This window comes from Homo sapiens, chromosome 1, assembly GCF_000001405.40.
Source record: "Homo sapiens chromosome 1, GRCh38.p14 Primary Assembly".
NCBI classification, from domain to species: Eukaryota; Metazoa; Chordata; class Mammalia; order Primates; family Hominidae; genus Homo; species Homo sapiens.
Window position 1 is genome coordinate 24504556 of NC_000001.11, and position 23194 is coordinate 24527749.

Below are 23194 nucleotides of genomic sequence, written 5' to 3' on the forward strand. Positions count from 1 at the left end.
AGGTTTCAAACATGTGAACATTAGGTAACAGACAAGAGCAGATTTTATATGGTGTTAGAGTTGTTGGTTGAAGGACTTAAAGCATGAAAAATAGTGTGACGCGGAAATCCATTAGCCTGAAGCCTGTGAAATAATGGAAGCTCTAAAGTTCAACACCGTTTGTTACTTAGAAAAAAAACACAGAAGGTGGAGGTCGGACAGCAATCTCCACTTTTCCCCTAGAATGTAGAGGTTCTATCCAGGGAAAAGAAATTATACACAGCACAACAAATAGCATCAGTCTTATATATCTCAACTTCAGTTATTCTTTAAAACCTGTTGTTTTCATATGTTTTGTAGGCTGGTTTTTGTTGTTTATTTCTATCTGTCTCTTGCTGACAAATTCCTGGTGGAGTGGAACTTCAATTATAACAGGACCAATTCTAGGTTATCTGTGAAAACAAGACATGGGTCATTGAAACATACAAAATACAAAAATCAAATTTTCACCCGTTTTACTTTACTGTCGCACGAAATTTTTCTTACACACAGCTACTAAAAAATAGTACAGTTCTACCTGTAAGTGGTAAATGAGTAGAGAATAGAAGGTAGGGCTTCGTGATAGCCGTTCAGAACTTCGCATTGACGATCCTAAGTGGCTTTTTGTTGTTGCTTTGTTTTTTTTTTTCTCTTTTTTCTTTTTTTTTTTTTTTTTTTTTCTTTTTTTTGAGATCTCCTTCTGTTGCCCAGGCTGGAGTGCAGTGGTGCAAACACAGCTCACTGCAGCCTTGGCCTCCCAGGCTCAAGTATTCCTCCCACCACAGCCTTCTGAGTAGCTGGGACTACAGGCGTGCACCATGTGTTTTTTTGTAGAGACGGGGTTTTTCCATGTTGCCCGGGCTGGTCTCGAACTCTGGAGCTCTGGCAGCCCGCCTGCCTCCGCCTCCCAAAGTGCTGGGATTACAGGCATGAGCCACCACACCAGTCCAAGTGTTTTGTTTTGTTTAACTTAGTTGAAATTTTTAATTTAGAAATTTAAAAAAGGAACTTAGTAGCCCAAAGCACCTATGTTTATTTTATATATTTTATACACTTTATGTATTTTATCTTGTTCATTTTATAAATACAGAAAAACCAAGGGATTTTTCCCAAGGTTATACAGCAGGACACTTGTAGAGCTGATAATGGAGCACTTGTTTGCTTCCAGTATTGTTTGGTAGCATTTTTAACATACAAAAAAAGTGAAAAGTACATCTAGCTAAGATACTGAAATGTTCACCAAGTTGGGAAGCCTATTAATTTGAAAAATTATTATTATTTTAATCCTGGAGGAGAAAGAATTTGCGTTTTCCTGATCAGAACAGAAAATGCAAGATCCATGCCATGTGCTTGACATTTTGCCTTGATAGATGACTTTTGTCACAGGCCTGTTGTGGCAGAGCAGATGGTCATGCTACTTGGAGTTTTTCCACTCATTTGATATTTCCATGAAGAAACAATTTGCCAGAAGCCAGCCGTAGTTAGAGTTGTGCTGGAGATGACGGGAAACCTGGATTAGCACAGACTTTTGCTTACAGGAGCTGGAGGATATCGGTTCAGCCCTTTCTGCTGGGCCAGTCAAGAGTTCCCTGGATTGGTAAACTGAGGAACAGTTTAGTCTTGTGATAGTTGGAGTGGAGCTATAATTATACCACTGCACTCTAGCCCGCATGACAGAGACCCTGTCTCTAAAAAAGGAAAAAGAAAGAAATATAGATATCTTGGGACAAACGACAAATAATTTGACAATAATCTAAAGAAAAATTGAAGGAAAATAGCTAAGACATTATTAGGATAACTGATAAAATTTGAATCCAGATTATGCATTTGACAAATTATGTATTAGATAATAGTATTATATCAATGTTAAATTTCCTGTTTTTGATAATTATCCTATGGGTTATATAAGAAAATGATCTTGTTCTTATACACTGAAGTATTTGGAAGTAAAAGGGGTATGCTCCATCTTTCAATGGCTCAGGAAAATGCATGTCTATAAAAATAGAGAAAGATAAAGCAGATGGTCAAAACAGAAGGAATTGGTGACTCTGGGTAAAGGATACAGCATACCCGAGTTCCTTGTGCTATTCTTATAACTTCTGTTTGAAGTTATATCAAAAAAAAAAAAAAGGTACTCAAAATTGAAGGTAGAAAACAGGAAATGAAGGTGTGATATTCTAAGAATTTTTTTTTTTTTAAGTCAGGTGAAGGATTATTTCCTGTGTTCTGTTTTTTAAAATCTTTTTACGGGTTAGACGAGGGAACTTGAAACAAACAAATCTTATCAAGAATAGGTTGACTTTCTCAAATTTCAAAATCTAGTCAGCCAGAGCTCCCCAACTTACCAGCCTCCAAAAACCCGGGCACAGTATTTTCTCTACCTCTTTTTAATGGGTTGGGAATAGGATAGAAACATTAGTGCCTCTAAGAGATAAGATACAAAGACAGCCCACCTTTAGAGATACTAAAAGTTAAATTGCACTTGGTTTTATCATTTCCCTGCCTAAAAACCCACAATGGCATGCTGATATTGACATGGTTTTTGTGTCAAAACTCTGTAACCCTACTTGCTTGGCAACCTGGCCCATACCTGCCTTTCCGACTGTCTCATGCCACCCCCACCAAACACCTTGCACCCTAGCCATGCCAGATCACGTGACCTTTGTGCATGCTGGTCCTACTGTCTTCCTGCCTTTGTTCATGTCCTGCTGGCTTTGTGTGGAATGCTCCCCATTCTTTTCCTCCTGAAATTCTGTTCATCCTTGAAGTCTCACCATTGCCTCCTTGGGAAGCTATCTCTAATCCCATGCAGAATTCAATTTACCTTTGTCTGTGCTGACATATCAGTGGGGTAACTAAAATACTACCTGCTGTTATTCAGCCTCCCTTATTAAGCATACACTGTGAGCGGGAAACTATGCCAGGGCCTGGGGTTTCACAGATACAGTCTTGTAGCTAGGAGTGATTTGTAAACAAATAATCACAATGTAAGTGTATAACAGAAAAATGAACCAAGCACTGTAAGAGCTAAGTCCACCTGACAACTTTGTCTTGAAGAAAAGATTAATGAAAGCCACAGTGAGATACACTGTCACTCCCTGCCCCGCTTCCGCAGGGCCCCTTTCCAGATTGGAGATTTCTGGCACGATAAATGAGTAAGTTAAAAACAGTTGTTGTACCTGTGGGCCACCCAGATAGATATATTCAATAGAAAGTGAAAAATACGGCTAGGCGTGGTGGCGGCTCACGCCTGCAATTTGGGAGGCCAAGACGGGGGGATCACCTGACGTCAGGAGTTTGAGACCAGCCTGACCAACATGATGAAACCCCATCTCTGCTAAAAATACAAAAAGTTAGCTAGGTGTGTGATGGCATGTGCCTGTAGTCCCAGCTACTCGGGAGGCTGAGGCAGGAGAATCGCTTGAACCCTGGAGGCAGAGGTTGCCAGTGAGCCGAGATTGCGCCAGTGAGCCGAGATCGCGCCACTGCGCCGAGACTGCGCCACTGCACCCCAGCCTGGACAAGAGTGAAACTCCGTCTCAAAAAAAAAAGAAAGAAAAAGTGAAAAATACAAGACTAGAACTCAGGATTGAGAGTGAGTCTTGGTATATAAATTTGAATGTACCCATATGGATGACTGATTTTCAGGGTATGTAGGCAGGAAAGACCAACAGGTAGATCACAGGCTCTTGGGGACATGGTACTTTTCCAAACTACCCATCCTCTTTATTGCTCAAGGTTCTGCTCTGGCTTCCCTCCCAACTTTGGTGACATTCATCCTGTCTTAAGGTCGTTGCACGAAATGAGAGCCAGTATTGACACAGGTGTGTGTGAACCACAGGGAGGCAGGAACTTAGTTGAGAACCTCTGGTGATTAGGCAGCTAAATACTCCAGTGTGGATAAAGTCACGCAGGAGAGAAAGATGAAAAAAGGATGAGGATGTGGAGAAAGAGGCAGTAAAAAAGATAGAGCTGGTGAGGAAGAAGGGCCAGGAAGAGGCAAGACCCAGAAGGCAGGGACACAGGGAGGTCTAAGAATGAATGGAATAGGCAGCCAGGTCATGTGCTACAGAGATAGGCTGAGACCTGACACTGGGTTTCAACTACAGGCTTGTTCGGGGATATCGCGGGTTTCGTTACAGATAATTGTAATAAAGCCGGTCACACGAATTTTGGTTTCCCAGTGCATATAAAAGTCTTGTTTACACTATACTATAGTCTATTAAGTGTGCAATAGCATATGTCTTAAAAAAATTTATAGACCTTCATTTAAAAAATACTTTGTTGCTAAAAAATACTAATGATCGGTTGGTGTGGTGGCTCACACCTATAGTCCCAGTACTTTAGGAGGCTGAGGCGAGTGGATCACTTGAACCCATGAGTTTGAGACCAGCCTGGGCAACATGGCAAAACCCCATCTCTACAAAGAATACAAAAATTAACCGGACATGGTGGTGTGTGCTTGTAGTTCCAGCTACTTGGGAGGCTGAGGTGGGGGGATCACCTGAGCATGGGAAGGTCAAGGCTACAGTGAACATGATCACGCCACTGCACTAGAGTCTGGGCAACAGAGTGAGACCCCACCCCATCTCAAAAAATAATGCAAACGATTAAGTCGTAATCTTTTTGTTGGTGGAAGATCTTGCCTTGAGGTTGATGGCTGCTGACTGATCAGGGTGGTGATGCTGTAGTTTGGGGTGACTGTGGCAATTATTAAAATAAGACAACAGCATTTCACGAAAGATTTCTCTGTAGTATGTGATGCTGTTTGATAGCATTTTACCTACAGTAGAAGTTCTTTCAAAATTGCAGCCAATCCTCTAAACCCTGCCATTGCTTTATCAACTAAGTTTATGGAATATTGTAAATCCTTTGTTGTCATTTCAACAATGTTTACAGTATCTTCCCCAGGAGTAGATTTTATCTCAAGAGACCACCCTCTTTGCTCATTCACAGGAAGCCAACTCCCTTCCATTCAGGTTTTGTTTGAGATTGCAGGAATTCAGTCACATCTTTAGGCTCCGCTTCTAATTCTAGTTCTCTTGGTATTTCCACCACATCTGCAGTTATTTTCTCCACTGATGTCTTGAACACCTCAGAGTCATCCATGAGGGTTGAAACCAACTTCTTCCCAACTTGTTGATGTTGCGATTTTGACCTCCTCCCATAAATCACGAATGTTCTGGATGGCATCTAGAATGATGACTTCTTTCCAGAAAGTTTTCCATTTACTTTGCCCAGATCTATCTGAGGAATTGCTATCTCTGGCAGCTGTATACTTACGAAATGTATTTCTTAAAATAGTAAGACTTGAAAGTCAAAGTTACTCCTTGATCCATGGGCTGCAGAATGGATATTGTGTTAGCAGGCATGAAAAGAACATTCATCTCCCTGTATATTTCTGTCAGAGCTCCTGGGTGACCAAGCGAATTGTCAACGAGAACAATGTTTTGAAAGGGATCTCTCTTTTTTTCTTAGCAGTAGGTCTCAAGAATGGGCTTAAAACGTACAGTAAACCATGCTATAAACAGATGTGCGGTCATCCAGGCTGAATTGTTCCGTTCATAGAGCACAGGCAGAGTAGATTTAGCACAATTCTTAAGGGCCATAGGATTTTTAGAATGGTGAATGAGCATTGGCTTTAACTTAAAGTCACCAGCTATGTTAGCCGCTAACAAAAGAGTCAGCCTGTCCTTCGAAGCTTTGAAGCCAGGCATTGACTTCTAGCTATGAAAGTCCTAGATGCATCTTCTTCCAATAGAAGGCTACTTAGTCTATATTGAAAATCTGTTGAGTGTAGCCACCTTCATCAATGACCTTAGCTAGATCTTCTGGATAACTTGCTGCAGCTTCCATATCAGCACTTGCTGCTTCGCCTTGCACTTCTATGTTATAGAGACAGTTCCTTTCCTTCAGCCTCATAAACCAACCTCCACTAGCTTCAGACTTTTCTTCTTCAGCTTCCTCAGCTCTCTCATCCTTCATAGAAGTGAAGAGAGTTAGGGCCTTGCTCTGGATTAGACTTTGGTTTAAGGGAATGTTGTGGCTGGTTTGATCTTCTATCTAGACCAATCAGACTTTTCGTATCAGCGATAAGTCTGTTTTTGCCTTTTTAGCATTTGTGTGTTCACTGGAGTACCACTTTTAATTTCCTTTGGGAACTTTTCCTTTGCATTCACAACTTGACTGATTGGTGCAAGAGACTTAGCTTTTGGCCTCTGGGGACGTATCTTCCTCAGCAGGCTTAATCACTGCTGGCTTTTGATTTAAAGTGAGAGACTCAGGATGCTTCCTTTCACTTGAACACTTAGAAGCCATTGAAGGTTTATTAATTGGCCTAATTTCAATATTGTCGTGTCTCAGAGAGTAGGGAGCCCGAGGAGAGGGAGAGAGTCGGGGAAATGGCCTCACTCAGTAAAGCAGTTAGAACACCTACAACAAATATTAAGAACACCCATGGCCGGGCGTGGTGGCTCACGCTTGTAATCCCAGCTCTTTGGGAGGCCGAGGTGGGCAGATCACAAGGTCAAGAGATTGAGGCCATCCTGGCCAACATGGTGAAACCCTGTCTATACTAAAAATACAAAAAATTAGCTGGGCATGGTGGCGTGTACCTGTAGTCCCAGCTACTCGGGAGGCTGAGGCAGGAGAATCGCTTGAACCCGGGAGGCGGAGGCTGCAGTGAGCCAAGATAGCACCACTGCACTCCAGCCTGGGCGACAAAGCAAGACTCCGTCTCAGAAACAAAACAAAACAAAACAAAAAAACAAAACATCCACAGCATGTATTGGTTAAGGACACCCACAACATGTATTCATTGATTAAGAACACCCACGACGTGTATTCATTGATTAAGAACACCCACGACGTGTATTCGTTGATTAAGAACACCCATGTGTATTGGTGAAGAACACCCACAACACGTATTGATTAGGCACACCCACAACACGTGTCGGTTAGGAACACCCACAACATGTATTGATTAAGTCTGCCATCTTATATGGGTGCAGTTCATGGTGCCCCAAAACAATTACAATGGTAACATCAAAGATCACTGATCACAGATCACCATAACAGATAAAACAATAGTGAAAAAATTTGAAATATTGTGAGAATTACCAGAACATGTCAGACATGAAGTGAGCACATCCCGTTTGAAAGCGGTACTGATAGACTTGCTCAGTGCAGGGTTGTGACAAGCCTTCACTTTGGAAAAAATGCAGTGCAGTGTGATAAAGTGACGCATGATAAAATGTGGGATGCCTGTTGGGAAGCCGTTGCCATCCATGAGGAGGACAGCTGCAGCCAAAAGGTAGTGTGGAGGCCAAACTGCACCTAATTCAGGAGTGACTAGAGCAGAGGGAGCACGGCAAGAAGAGATCACATTTCCCAGAAGCTGGTAGGAAGGTGAAGGAGAATTAGGGGGAGCATGAGGGGAGGGTAGAATCCAGATGGTAGGGCTCGCAGGAACACATGTTTGCTGAGGAAGAGGAACAAGTGGAGAAGGAGAAATTGAAAGTACAGCTGACACTTTGGGAGGCCGAGGCGGGCGGATAACTTAAGGTCAGGAGTTCGAGACCAGCCTGGCCAACATGTGAAACCCTGTCTCTACTAAAAATACAAAAATTACCCGGGCATGGTAGCACATGCCTGTAGTCCCAGCTACTTGGGGGGCTGAGGCAGGAGAATGGCTTGAACCTGGGAGACGAAGGTTGCAGTGAGCCAAGATCGTACTACTGCACTCCAGCCTGGGCAACAGGATAAAATTCTGTCTCAAAAAAAAAAAAAATTAAGTACAGCTGACAGCTGATGGAACGAGGTTCTTTAGGAGATTGGGTGCTTAGCATTGTTGAAGAGGAGAAATGCTGGCTTTGCTGGGAGTGCCTTGAGGGTAGGAACCATGTTTTCTTCACTCCCCAACACCAAGCAGTAGGCACTCAGAAAATGTATATACAAATGAGTAAAGATTTTACTTCTTAGAAGTAGTCTTGATTGATATTGTAGAATACCAAAAAACCTCACTATTTTTATTCCATAATTACCATTCTGTATTATACTGTGTGTAAGCAATGTATTTGTGACCTTCTGTTCTTTGAAATAAAAGGGAAAAATCACAAATCAGGTGGTATTGAGGTAGTAATCATAATCACTTAGTTTGTCTGTGCCTGCTACGTATTTATTAAATTCTGCCTCCGCATCTTGAAATGTGTCATGTCCAAGGCTCTCTGCTTGGTGCATGTGATGTGCACTTCATTGGAAGAGGCAGACATGCATAGAAACAGCCTATGAGAGACAGATTCTGTCCTGTTATTCCACCCAGGGACACTGTCAGCTCCAGACATTTGCCTTAAAATTGGTTATTTTTTAAAGTTTGGAAAAAGGGACCAGGCGCGGTGGCTCACACCTGTAATCCCAGCGCTTTAGGAGGCCGAGTTGGGCGGATCACCAGGTCAGGAGATCGAGACCATCCTGGCTAACACAGTGAAACCCCATCTCTACTAAAAATACAAAAAATTAGCTGAGCGTGGTGTCGGGCGCCTGTAGTCCCAGCTACCTGGGAGGCTGAGGCAGGAGAATGGTGTGAACCCGGGAGGCGGAGCTTGCAGTGAGCCGAGATTGTGCCACTGCACTCCAGCCTGGGTGACAGAGCGAGACTCTGTCTCAAAAAAAAGTTCAGAAAAAGGACACCTTTTTAATTTTCTTTAATTTTTTGTAGGGGCAAGGTCTCACTATGTTGTCAGGCTGGTCTTGAACGCCTGAGCTGAAGTGATCCTTTGATCACTGCCTCAGCCTCCCAAAGTGCTGGGATTGGCCAGATGTGGTGGCTCACACCCATAATCCCAGCACTTTAGGAGACTGAGGTGTGCAGATCACCTGAGGTTAGGAGTTGGAGACCAGCCTGGCCAACATGGTGAAATCCCATCTCTACCAAAAAAATATAAAAAGTTAGCCGGGCATGGTGGTACACGCCTGTAGTGGAGGCTGAGGCATGAAAATCGCTTGAACCCGGGAGGCGGAGGTTGCAGTGAGCCGGGATCGCGCCACTGCACTCCAGCCTGGGCAACACAACACGACTCCATCTCAAAAACAAAAGTGCTGGGATTATAGGCATGAGCCACCGTACCTGGCCCTCTTTTTGATTTTCTGTGTTAAATTTTGCCTACCGCAAATATTTCTAACATTAACAAAGACTGAATTTATAGACAGCTTTTGATTCTGTGTAACTTAATTCTTTCAAGTGTATTCAAAAAGAACAAATTGGTTAGGAGAGGTAGAGTCAGCTCATCACAGACCATATTTCAGGGTACAGATGGTGAGAGAATTAGTGTGGGTTGTATTTGGCTGTGCCAGTTACAGTGTTGTAGATGGAAAACCCCAAACAAATATGTGGAGGCTCTTCTGGTTCACATTTTTCTTTCTACTGCTTATAAACTAGAATACATATTGATATGATCTCATTTTATATTACCCTTTTTTCCCTAGGTTCACTAGAAAACGTTTTGCCTTTTTTTCTTAATAAATCATTGCCAGTGAAATATGTTACATAAAATATGCTAAGCAAATCAAATTAGCGTATCTAGAATTCACTTACGAGGACTGTAATGCATTGATTTAAATATTGATTCATCGTTCTAAATAAAATTGCTTCATTTGATGAATTGCAGCCTGGAGACATTGATTGATTGGAACATTATTTGGTCTTCGGAGTTTTACCTCTGCATTTTCTTTTTTTTTAACAGTGGGTGCCTGATAGACATCCTAGGACTATACAGAAGGAAAAGGCCCACTTTGGGGGATAATGCTGAGGGACACTATGAAATCTTGGAATGATAGCCAGTCAGATCTGTGTAGCACTGACCAAGAAGAGGAAGAAGAGATGATTTTTGGTGAAAATGAAGATGATTTGGATGAGATGATGGATTTAAGTGATCTGCCTACCTCACTTTTTGCTTGCAGCGTCCATGAAGCAGTGTTTGAGGCACGAGAGCAGAAGGTAGGCATCTATCCTCCCTTTCCCTACATTTGTAGCATGTTAAATGTGTATGGATTTGGGGAAACAGAGCTTGACTGGTCCCTGACAAATTAAGTATAGAAAGTGTATGTCCACTTTTAGGCCGGGCGCATTGGCTCACACCTGTAATCCCAGCACTTTGGGAGGCTGAGGTGGGCAGATCACCTGAGGTCAGGAGTTCAAGACGAGCTTGGGCAACATATAGAAACCCTGTCTCTACTAAAAATGCAAAAACTAGCCGGGTGTGGTGGTGCGCGCCTGTAATCCCAGCTACTCGCAGGGCTGAGGCAGGAGAATCACTTGAACTTGGGAGGCAGAGGTTGCAAAGAGCTGAGAACATGCCACTGCACTTAAGCCTGGGGGACAGAGTGAGACTCTGTCTCAAAAAAAAAAAAAAGAAAGTGTATGTCCACTTTTAGATGTTGCCGCAGAATTTTTATTGTATTTTTAGAAGAGTTTCAGTCTGCAGCAGTTAGGAAATGTTTCAAAACCAGTTCTTCTCCATAGACACTTTAAGAAGCACTGGCATTTAGTGAACTCTGAGTCAAGTCTTATTCAATCCATTCACTTATTTATTCACTTATTCATTTTCGGAGACTACAATTAAAGAAAACCTGGGGATCTTTAGCCGGGCTTCCTATTACTTGGGAGTGCATTCACAAAAGAAGGAATTCAGCTTTTTCCTGGGGCTGATTTACATAAAACCTATTAGGACTATTTATGATTTTGTCGTAACAAAATTGTTCACGTTTCTTGTATTAGTTTCTATAACTGGGGAAAATGATTGAGCTTATTATTTTAAAGATTCCTTTAGTTCATTTATTATTTACCTAGAAAGAGAGGTGTGTGTGTGTGTGTGTGTGTGTGTGTGTGTGTGTGCTTTGTTTTGTTTTTCCCCGTCATGACCTCACAAAAGGCTATAGGTCTTAGTCCCACAAAAGTAAAATAGCTCTGCCACTGGGATGTGTCTTCCTTGTTCTGAGCTTTTTCTCAAAACCCTATCACTGGCCCTTTAGTTTTCAGCCGATGTACCCAAAATATTTCCCTTCCGATGACTTTCTTGGAGCAGAACTTCAATACCGTTTAACTCAGGACATACTTGAGTGCCTACGGTGTGCCAGGCGCTGGTGCCAGTTGCTTCAGGGGATAGAGTGTGAGTCATGCAGCTTCTGCCTCATGGTGTCCAGCCCTGCAGCAGAATCAAGGCCAGGCAGCAGGGATGACAAGCAATTATGTTATCAAATGGAATCTTAGTGCCTTTAGAAACACTTGAAAGTGGCCGGGCGTGGTGGCTCATGCTTGTAGTCCCAGTACTTTGGGAGGCCAAGGCAGGCAGATCACGAGGTCAGGAGTTCCAGACCAGCCTGACCAACATGGTGAAACCCCGTTTCTACTAAAAATACAAAAATTAGCTGGGCGTGGTGGCAGGTGCCTGTAATCCCAGCTACTCAGGAGGCTGAGACAGGAGAATCGCTTGAACCTGGGAGGCAGAGGTTGCAGTGAGCGGAGATTGCGCCAGCGTACTCCAGCCTGGGCAACAGAGCGAGACTCAGTCTCAAGAAAAAAAAAAGAAAGAAAGAAACACTTGAAAGAACAGGGCCAGGCGCAGTGGCTCTCGCCTGTAATCCCAGCATTTTGGGAGGCTGTGGCGGGCAGATCACTTGAGCCCAGGGTTTCATGACCAGCCTGGGCAATATAGCGAGACCCCATCTCCATAAAATAAAATAATAATAATAATTTAAATAGTGCGTTGAGGTAAGAAAGGAGGAAGGATCACAGCCAGTTGGAATAAAAGATCTCACAGGGAGGTGGCATTGGAGAAGGGCTGTGAGAGCTGGGTAGGATTTTAGCAGGGAAGGGAAAGGGAATTTTGGCCACGGGGAACAGAATGAGAAAAGAGCTGAATCGGGAGAGTGTGGGCCATTTCGGGAGTAGCAAGCCATTCTGTGTGCTTAGCACATAGCTGATATTTGGCCAGAGTCAGGAGAAATCGGACTAGAAGAGTGAGTATGCGGCCACCCAGCAAAATCTCATGAACATCTAGCTCAGGAGCTTGTCCTTTTGTGGGAAACGGTCGGAGGGTTTCTGAGCACAGAGCGGCCATCAGAGCTCCACGTCAGGAAGCTCAGCCCACAGCACGTGGATGGCAGAGTGATGGGAGAAGAGGGCAGAGCAGGGAGCCAGGGAGCTCTCGGATTGCACCCGCCTGGAGATGACCCACCCCAAGCGGAGCAGGGAAGGGGGCTGCACTCGCCAACTTTGTGTCTTTCAGGGTTGTTTCATTTACAAATGCTATTTGCTTTCCCAAGTTCAGTCATAATTTAGACATTTTGAAATCATCCTTTTGAGTTTCATGCTAAGAGCTCTAAGTTTTTATGTTATAAATAAGTTAACCTTGTTGTTTATTGTTGTAAAAAACCAGATGAATTGCCAATTTATGTTAAAATTATATATGTAGGAATTCTCTCAAGAAACGTCACAATCTTTTCTATTTTTTTGTTTTTTTTTGTTTTTTTTTTGTTTGTTTGTTTGTTTTGGTGAGATGGAGTCCTTCTCTGCCTCCCAGGCTGGAAGGCTGGAGTGCAATGGCGCAGTCTCGGCTCACTGCAACCTCCGCCTCCCAGGTTCAAGCAATTCTCCTGCCTCAGCTTCCTGAGTAGCTGGGATTACAGGCACATGCCACAATGCCCGGCTAATTTTTTTGTATTTTTAGTAGAGATGGGGTTTCACCACATTGGCCAGGCTGGTCTTGATCTCCTGACCTCAAGTGATCTGCCCACCTTGGCCTCCCAAAGTGCTGGTATTACAGGCGTGAGCCACCGTATCCGGCCAATCTTTTCTATTTCAACCTTTTCTTTTTAACTGTAGCCTGGGAAATTTTTAACCTGCAAAAAGGGTGGGTCCTTGTTGGGTTTCATTTTTTAAACCATTTGGGGATTATATCTAACGTAAATTTATACTGGAAATCATCCCAGCAGAAATTCTAATAACAGCAGTTCAGCGGACTTCCTAGTAAATTGTATTTAATACCCTTAACAGTAATATCTGAAATGACAAAATATAAAATGTTTATATTATGGTTATCTATAGATCATCAGTTGGATATAAAATATGGACAGAATCAAGGCCAGATATGATGGCTCATGCTTGTAATCCCAGCACTTTGGGAGGCCAAGGCAAGAGGATCGCTTGAGACCAGGAGTTTGAGACCAGCCTGGGCAACAGAGTGAGACCTCGTTTCTATTAAAGAAACATTTTTTAAGATATGGGCAGAATCAAATGTTTCCTTTACATTTTTCTTCTATCAGTGTCTTATTTTGTTGTAGTTTCTCCTGAAATCAGCTGTTTATTCAGGTTATCTATGAATGTGCAAAAAATAAAACAGTTGCTTTTGTTGGATTACAGGCAGAATAATCCCGATTGCAATTAAACACTTTAATTTCAAAAAATAATTTCTGGCTGGGCACATTGGCTCACACCCATAGTCCCAGCACTTTGGGAGGCCGAGGCAGGTGGATTGCTTGAACCCAGGAGTTCGAGACCAGCCTGGCCAACATAGCAAGACCCCATCTCTATAAAAAAATTTTTTTTTCCCAGCTTGAAAAAGTTTTTGTCTTTATAAGCTTCTAACTATTGGAGTAAGCTTTTACATTCTTCCGAATAGTAGAATAAATAACACAGGTGCCATTATCATGTAAATGTAATCTTTGCTCTAGATCATTAGATTTTGGCTCTATGTTTTTATCAATATTTCTTAAAAATAGTGTTGGAGGGATAATAAATCATAGAAAAATAAACTGTAAGAAAAATAGGTGGAGAAAAGGACTTATCTTTCAATGTATATTTCTCAGCTATAGGGTTGTTAATTTTATGCATGTACTCTGCTAATCAATAGCTCCATCAGGAGTGCGACAGGCTTAGTGCTTCATTTTTCTTTGACAGATTTGGATTTGTCCCAATGTGATTGTATTTGCTTGTTTGCTGTCTTTAACCCCAGTTTTTTTTTTTCTCTGTCTTTTAAAAAAGCAACAGGGTCTTGCTCTGTCACCCAGGCTGGAATGTGGTGGCATGATCATAGGTCACTGCAGCCTTGACCTCCTGGGCTCAAGCAATCCTCCTACCTCAGCCTCTCGAGTAGCTGGGACTATAGGCATGCACCAGCACATCCAGCTAATTTATTATTTATTTATTTATTTATTTATTTTGGAGATGGAGTCTCACTCTGTCACCCAGGCTGGAGTGCAGTGGTGCAGTCTCAGCTCAGTGCAACCTCTGCCTCCCGGGTTCAAGCAATCCTCCCACCTCAGCCTCCCAAGTAGCTAGGATTACAGGCATCCACCACCATGCTCGGCTAATTTTTTTGTATTTTTAGTAAAGACAGGGTTTCACCCTGTTGGCCAGGCTGGTATCAAACTCCTGACCTCAGATGATCTGCCTGCCTTGACCTCCCAAAATGCTGGGACTACAGGTGCATGCCACTACAACCAGCTAATTTTTGTATTTTTAGTAGAGATAGAGTTTCGCCATGTTGGCCAAGCTGGTCTCAAACTCTCGACTTCAAGTGATCTGCCCATCTCAGCCTCCCAAAGTGCTGTTATTACAGGCGTGAGCCACTGTGCCTGGCCTGATGTTTTTTTTTTTTTTTTTTAAGAGACAAGGTCTTGCTATGTTGCCCAGACTGGTCTCAAACTCCTGGGCTCAAGCGATCCTCCTACCTCTGCCTCTCAAAGTGCTGGGATTATAGGTGTGATCCACCATGCCTGACCCCTCCAGAAGCAAATTAATCTTGCTTCTGGTTTGAACATGAGGAGTTTTCAAAATATAATTTAGGTTTTTATAACATGAGAAATGGGACTGTTTTTTTCTGCCTTAGGTCTTGGTGTTTGAGGGGACTCAGTAAATGTTAGTGTTAGCAGTCTTCTCAGCAGGACATCCTGTACAAAGAAATGCAGTAGAATCTAGTCCCCTTGCAAAGTACTGCCCTTTGTATATAAAACTGTTTATCTGACCTCCTCACCATAGGACATTTGATTTGTGTTTCTGATTATGGTGGTTGAGGGATATTAAGACATCACTACTTGTTCTGCTGTCCTGCTCTGTGATGGGTGACACTGAGCATCTCATTGAGTTCCCAGTGCAAAGCAACACCTGTTAAATGTTTGTTGAATGAATGGATTCTGTAAGATGGTTGTTGAGGCTTAGTGATGCAATGCTATGATCGAGAAACAGAATTGTGAGCTGAGTGAGGCAAAATAGTACGTAGGAGATTTAATCTGAAATTATGCTCCCAGATACACTGGCCTAAATTCTTTTGTGGCTTGTATAATCATATGCACAATTTAAATCTTCCTTTCAAGCTTTGATTCTGTACCTTCCATTTAAAGAAGTATCAAAAATATTATTTAAGAAAAGTAAATGATATTTGGAAGCTGAGTGAAGTGATCTTATGATTTTTAGACTAAATCAATTGTTTGTACATTCTAGCATAGCCTTCAGCCCAGAAAAAGTAGAATCCTTTAAGGAAAGTGATGTTTTAAATTTGGGAATTAAAAAAGAGGATTCAAAGGAAGAATATCTCTGTTATAGTTAACTGTGTTTTTAACAGAGCATGAAACATCCTAAGGTTTCACTAAGTGTTTGTTTAATTGGTTTTATAGTGCTGTTCTGGCCAAGAATTAGTAATTTAGTTAGCTTTGAGGCTCAATTAAATACTAGAGAATCATAGTTTAGAATTAAGAAATCCTAGTCAAGTCTGTATTTTATACAGTGGGTTTAGAGTTATAGACATTGCTACAAAACGTTGTTGAAAGAAATTTAAAGAAGGCACAAATAAAGGGGAAGACATCCGTATCTATGGACTGGAAAACTTAATAACATTAAGATGTCAGTACATACACCGTGGAATACTATGCAGCCATAAAAAATGATGAGTTCATGTCCTTTGTAGGGACATAGATGAAACTGGAAACCATCATTCTCAGCAAACTATCGCAAGGACAAAAAACCAAACACTGCATGTTCTCACTCATAGGTGGGAATTGAACAATGAGAACACAATGACACAGGAAGGGGAACATCACACTCCGGGGACTGTTGTGGGGTGGGGGGAGGGGGAAGAGATAGCATTAGGAGATATACCTAATGCTAAATGACGAGTTAATGGGTGCAGCACACCAACATGGCACATGTATACATATGTAACAAACCTGCACGTTGTACACATGTACCCTAAAACTTAAAGTATAATAATAATAAAATAAAAATAAAATAAAATAAAATTAAAAGATGTCAGTACTACCTAAAGTGCTCTACAGATTCAACTCAATCCCTATCAAAATCCCAATGATTTTTTTTGCAGAAATAGAAAACCTACCCTGAAATTCATATAGAACCTCAAGGAATCCCAAATTGCCAAAACAGTCTTGAAAACAAAGAACAAAGTTGGATGCACACTTCCTGATTTCAAAACTTTAGTATAAAGCCATGGTAATCAAAACAGTGTGGTACTGGCATAAAGACAAACATAGAGATGGATGGAATTGAATAGAAAGCCCAGAGACGAACCTTTGTATATATGGTCAAATGATTTTCAACAAAGGTTCCAAGACTATTCTGTGGGTGAAAGGACAGTCTCTTTTCAACAAAAGGTGCTGGGAAAACTGAAATCCACATGCAGAAGAATGAAGTTGCATCCTTATTTTATATCAAATAAAAAATTAGAATGGATCAAGCTACTCAGGAGGCTGAGGTGGGAAAATTGCTTGAGCGCAGGAGTTTGAGGCCAGCCTGGAAACGTAGTGAGACCCCATCTCCTAAAACAAAACAAAACAAAAAACCAAAGACTTAAACGTTAGAATTAAAACTATAAAACTCTTAGAAGATGCAGTAGCATCTTCAGAGAGAAGGCTCCTCTATGTGCTGGAACTGTGCTACCCTCTATGGCACAGCTCATAATAGCATGCTTTTAAAAGTATCATTTAGGCTGGGCAAAGTGGCTCACGCCTGTAATCCCAGCACTTTGGGAATACAAGGCAGGTAGATCACCTGAGGTCAGGAGTTCGAGACCAGCCTGGCAAACATGATGAAACCCCACCTCTACTAAAAATACAAAAATTAGCTGGGCATGGTGGTATACGCCTGTAGTCCCAGCTACTCGGGAGGCTGAGGCAGGAGAATCGCTTGAACCTGGGAGGTGGAGGTTGCAGTGAGCTGAGATCGTGCCATTGTACTCCAGCCTGGGTGACAAAGTGAGATTCTGTCTCAAAAACAAACAAACAAAAAAAATTTTTTTAAAAAAGAAAATAGAATATTGGTTGCTGGGGGGGGTGGGGAAAATATTTACAGTTTAATGTATTGAGAGCTTGTATGGGATGATGGAAAAGTTCAGGAGACAGATAGTGGTGATGGTCACACAGTAAGACTGTACTTAATACCACTGACTTGTACATTTAAAAATGGTTAAATGATAAATTTTGTGTTTTGTATATTTGACCACAATAAAAATAATGCAAAAAGAGCCTATTTTTCTTGAGTTTAGTGTTCTTGGTAATATGTATATACCAAGAATATATTTTTAAATATACACATACATATATTTATACACACACATGTGTGTGCGGTATGTATGTATTGGACACCTGTTTGGCTCCACTTTAACCCTCTTTTCACCTAGTCATTGCTGGAGCAGCCAGCTGTGTGCAGGTGTGACCTCACACCTGGCCTGAGCTGCCGTGTCTTTCCATCCCAGCATTTCTGTGCTGCCTGAACAAGGATGCTCAGCCTTATTGATGCATGCACAGACTTGGAAGCATGAGGGAGTTAAAGTCCCATAGGGTAGCCCTCAACCAGTGGAAAACTAAACCCGGTGAATAAGCTCCTCTGTGTTCTGACACTGAAGCCAACAGTTCTCAGGCAGGTTCTTACTGGCTCCCCAGCAGATCAAGCCCCAGTTGCCCACAGAGGTGACCAGCTTGAAAACGCGACCTGGAGGGACAGAGAATGGGCTTGCCCTCCTTCCCGGTGCCACTGTTCCCAGGCCTCCACGCTTGTCTCATGGGGTCACTTCCCAAAACAAACACTCAGCGTGTGTGCCTTTGCCTTGCCTCTGCTTCTCCAAGGAGCCCAGGTAAGGCACAGGTAACGCTTCCAAGTTTGGTTATGGTTATTCCTCTTATGTAAGGCGCTGTTCCAGACTCTCAAAATAAAAAAGGCAATTTTTAGGTTATGCAAAAAGGATAGACTAATATAAAAAACACCCACGTGCCCACCCAATTTAGCAAATAAAATTTTACTAATACAGTTGAATCCCATGTCTCCTCCCAGAGATAACCATCATCCTGAACTCAGGTTTCTCATTTTCCACGAAATCTGTAAACTTTAATAGGTTGAACCATATGAAATTGCTATATTTGTTGGTCAAAAGTGGTCAAATATCAGCATTTCTTCTGATTGAGCCTGATATTCTGTGTGTATGTACACACACTTTTTTTTTTTTTTGAGACAGAGTCTCACTCTGTTGCCCAGGCTGGAGTGTAATGGCGCAATCTCAGCTCACTGCAACCTTCACCTCCCGGGTTCAAAGAGTTCTCCTACCTCAGCCTCCCGAGTAGCTGGGATTACAGGCACCTGCCACTGCGCCCGGCTAATTTTTTGTATTTTTAGTGGAGACGGGGCTTCACCATGTTGGCCAGGCTGGTCTCGAACTCCTGACCTCAGGTGATCCGCCCGCCTTGGCCTCCCAAAGTGCTGGGATTTTAAATTATCTGTATTTGGAGTCGACATGATTGTCTCTTTAGAACGGAATCTACATAAAAGCTGTTAGAACGAATAAGTGAGTTTAGGAAGATTGCAGGATGTGGGGTCAATGTCCAAAATCAACTGTCTCTGTAACAGTAAACATTTGGAAATTGAAATATCTATGGATATTTCAAAATCCCTAAATATATATACACATATATTTACACAAATATGTATACACACACATATATAAAGGTATATCAAATCTATATTATTTCTAATACACACACACACACACACACACACACACACACACACACATATATATTTTTTTTCTTCAGATGGAGTCTCATTCTGTTTCCCAGGCTGGAGTGCAGTGGTACAATCTCGGCCCACTGCAACCTCCCCTTCCTGGGTTCAAGCAAGCCACCATGCCTGGCCATGAAATAATGTAATATATTTTGAGATAAGCATCTTCAATTACCTTCAACGATATTTGTAGCTTAAGTATACATTAACAAAATATGTGTATGATCTGTATGCTGAAAATTATATGCTAAACTGTATGCTAAAACACTAATGAAATAAATAGTATTTTACATCATTTAAAATTTTATATATTGGCCAGGCGTGGTGGCACAGGCCTGTAATCCCAGCACTTTGGGAGGCCGAGGTGGGTGGATCACCCTGAGGTCAGGAGTTCGAGACCAGCCTGGCCAACATAGCAAAACCCCATCTGTACTAAAAATACAAAAGTGAGTTGGGCATAGTGGTGGTGCACGCCTGTAATCCCAGCTACTTGGGAGGCTGAGGCAGGAGAATCGCTTGAACCTGGGAGGCAGAGGTTGCAGAGAGCCAAGATCGCGCCACTTCACTCCAGCCTGAGAGACTGAGAAAAAAAGATAAAAAATAAGGAGTTCCAATAAGTCAGAGTTTGTGTTTATAAATACAGTAGCCATTAAAACATAAAAATCCATCTTGAATAGCTAGCATTCCATATTTTCTTGAATTTTAATTCAGTTACAGGTTTCTTTCTGATCTGGAAAAATGATGATGGCAACATAAATAATAAAGGTTATCAAAGGTTTTTGCATTTTTCATATATTCTGCTCCCCTCTAGCACTTTTGACTGTAGGTCCCAGAATTTTACAAGTACTCAGATTATCAAAGTAAAGTTTTTAAATTCACCATGTCTAGCTGTATGTGCACTTTTTTCTGTTTAGTAAAGTCCATCTCTCTGGCTGTTTTAGTCAGTGGTGATTGATGAGAACCAAAAGCACTTTGCCTACCCCCAGGCAGAAATGGAGGCCTTGCCTTTGATATTAGTGGACCTGCAGGCTCTGGACACTGGAGAAATGGAATTTTCTAGATCAGATTTACAGAAAGACGTAGAATATAAATCTCTTGCCTTAGGATGCTAAAGATAATTTCACTGCTGAATGGATCAAGCCATTCCTTCTCAAGAGTAAAATCGTTCCTCCTACTCTGTTTATTTTGTTTTCTTTTGTTTTTTTTTTTTTTTTTTTGAGACAGGGTCTCGCTCTGTTCCCCAGGCTGGAGTGCAGTGGCACAATCACAGCTCTCTGCAACCTCCGCCTCCCAGGTTCAAGCAATTCTCGTGCATCAGTCTCCCGTCCTCCCACTCTTTAATGTTTAATAGAAGTGGTGGGCTCCTCATTTTTTTTTCAGTCCAAAGCAAAGGTGTGTGGCAAAATCATGTTCCCAGTTTGTTCTTCAGTGAAACAGCTAAACCTTGCCTTCTCCGAATTGGGATGGGGCAACAGAGTGGAGCCATGGTGGATCCAGAAAGGTCAGGAAATACACACTTGGCTGCCATCCTCATCTGTTGCTCCTTGAAACTGACCTTCCCATATGGCCTTTTCCACTTTTCTCCTTTACTGATGCCTATTATCCAGCTGTCAAGCACTCTTTCTTAAGTTCCCAAGAAGGTTGATGGTTATGTGTTGTTCTTAGCTATTTTAGGTACAAGGTATGTACTGTCATTTTGATGACTGACTAACTGCACAGGTGATCTTAGCATATGAAGGCAGCTTCTGGTCTGTATTTTGTGGAAAACCTACTTACATCATAGGAAAAAGCCTCAGGCATTGGTTTTTAGGCTGCATTGTTTGTGTTATGCCTGTAGACGTTGTGCTGCCAGAGGGGGATACTAAGTGACTACAGAAAAAGTTAAGTGGTTAATGATGATTTTTATTTTAATGGAATCCCCATTATCTTTTCTCAAATAAATATGCGGCCATCACCCAACAGGATGATGTTAATTTTATATCATTAGAGAATTCAGAAATTTCTAAAAGTGAGCTATTTCTGAAATAATTCTAAGGAGAAAAATAGTCATTTGGTTTTTGAATGAACAGCTGCAGATCCTTCCTGTTTATCGCAAGTCATTTTCAGTCCATTTTCATAGATTATGTCCTTCCCCTGCCGTCTGCAATCTTCTAAATCCCTTTCGTGCTAATGCCGGGTTATCAGGGGCAGCCTCAGGAATCTACATGGGGATGTCTGTGGACTCACAGAAGGGCAAAGCTACCAGCTGAGGGCTCGTAACCATTTTTCACAAATAGGAAACTGATGGTTTTGCCTCCAAGTTAATTCTTCATGCTTCCAAAGCACCTCACAGCTAGAATTCACGTATTTCATAACCATATTTATGCTACTTCAAGGGGAAAATGGGTGTGGAGGAGAGAGAAAGAACACAAAACTCAGTAAAAGCTTGCTAATCGGTTCTTGCATGGCTTCATTTTTGTATAATTCTTTTTAAGAGAGAGAGACAGGGTCTCACTCTGTTGCCCAGGCTGGAGTACAGTGGTGAGATTGTGGCTCACTGCGGCCTCGAACTCCTGGGTTCAAGCAATCTTCCCACCTTAGCCAACCGAGTAGATAAGACTACAAGCGTATGCCACCATGCCTGGCTAATTATTTAATTGTTTGTAGAGATGGGGTCTTGCAGTGTTGTCCAGGCTGGTCTCAAGTTCCTGGCATCCCACAGTGCTAGGATGAATGGGCCACTGTGCCTGGCCATTTTGTTATAATTCTTAATCCTATCACAGGTATTGGATTTTGGAAGAGAGAGAGAGAGAGCGCCGTATAACCCATTGCTGTCATCTGCATGTTACATTCAGTTACAGTGTATTTCTGGAATTTGAAAAAAAAATTATCTTGAAGGGAAATGGGAAGAAGGATATGATTATCAAGTAACTGTTTGCAAGATAGCTTCTGTCATACGATGCGTTGGTACTAGGAAGAATTCGTTGTGGGGGGCTAGGGATAATACATGAGCCTTTTCCCTTGGGCAAGGAAAATGTTTAATGTACAGAATTACAAAGTACTAATATTTTATAAGCTATTCTTTCTTAATTAGTTCTTCCTTAATTTCCATTGTGTTCAATGTTAATATTTCTTAACTATCTCACATAGGAATTTTAGTATTTTCTTAATGTTTAAAATACATTTAAAATAAGCTAATACCAAGAACCAAATGGGATGTGATTTTGCAAAATCTCAATTCTAATTCTCTTTAAAAGCGACAAAGCTAGCCACCTTTGAAATGGATGCTAAAGAAACTTTGAAATGTATCCAGAAGCAATAATAATTATCAGCATTTAATATACTTACATATTCACCTTCCCTTTTAAGAACTGATATGCTACTTTAAAATCCTTACTATATCTATATAATATTTTGTTATTTATGTATATTACTTTTTTTTGAGACAGTCTTGCTCTGTTACTCAGGTTGGAGTGCAGTGGCGTCATTTTGGCTCACTGCAACCTCTGCCTCCCAGGCTCAAGCAATTCTCATGTCTCAGCCTCCAGAGTAACTAGGACTACAGGTGTGTAATTTTGCATTTTTAGTAGAGATGGGGTTTCACCGCATTGGCCAGGCTGGTCTCGAAGTTGATCCGCCTGCCTCTGCCTCCCAAAGTGTTGGGAATACAGGCGTGAGCTACCGCGCATGGCTTTCTGTATTACTTTAATATATGGAAACACGATAGTAAATAAGAGTAGGATTAATCTTAAAACTGCCCCCTGCTGGAAGCAGCTTGCAGTCCACTGAAAAGCCAGACTGAGTAGAAGGTCTGACATAATATATTTTTTTAAATGAATTGACAAAAAATACATAGTTTTTAGGATAAATGATGTTTCCTCAATAATGAAGGATATTTGAACACTGGAAGAATAAATATTGGTGCACAAATTATTTTATATTTTATCTAGTTGGAGAAATGTTGCAAAGTGGCAGGTAAATGTTCAAATTGAGAGAAGTTAATAAATGAGGGAGTGTATAATTTGCACTTCAGGATCAACAGATCATTGAAAGATCTTTACATAGGCGAAGCAAGAACAAAGCTAATTTATAGGTTCCTTTTATTGTGTTACCATTGCCAAGCCTAAGGAATATTTCTAA

At 41.6% G+C, this 23194-nt stretch overlaps 1 protein-coding gene across 10 annotated transcripts in view, besides 1 other annotated feature; it reads left to right on the forward strand.

The window, feature by feature from the left end:
• Positions 1-23194, forward strand: part of RCAN3 (RCAN family member 3) — a 38697-nt gene that overhangs the window by 2212 nt on the left and 13291 nt on the right. For 7 of the 10 annotated variants that reach the window (NM_001251979.2, NM_013441.4, NM_001251977.2 and 4 more), the window contains one exon: positions 9759-10012. The exons of 2 other annotated variants lie outside the window; for them this stretch is intronic. In NM_001251979.2, the coding sequence (NP_001238908.1) occupies positions 9818-10012 (195 nt within the window). In that variant the 5' untranslated portion in view covers positions 9759-9817. Of the gene's footprint in view, positions 1-3038; positions 3174-9758; positions 10013-23194 lie in introns of those variants that run through there. One more of the 10 variants, NM_001251978.1, reaches the window with a different exon arrangement.
• Positions 130-330: a silencer, noted in NCBI's record as "peak119 fragment used in MPRA reporter construct". NCBI's record gives its function as "represses an SCP1 promoter by STARR-seq MPRAs in K562 erythroleukemia cells {active_cell/tissue: K562}" and the evidence as "EXISTENCE:reporter gene assay evidence [ECO:0000049][PMID:32103011]".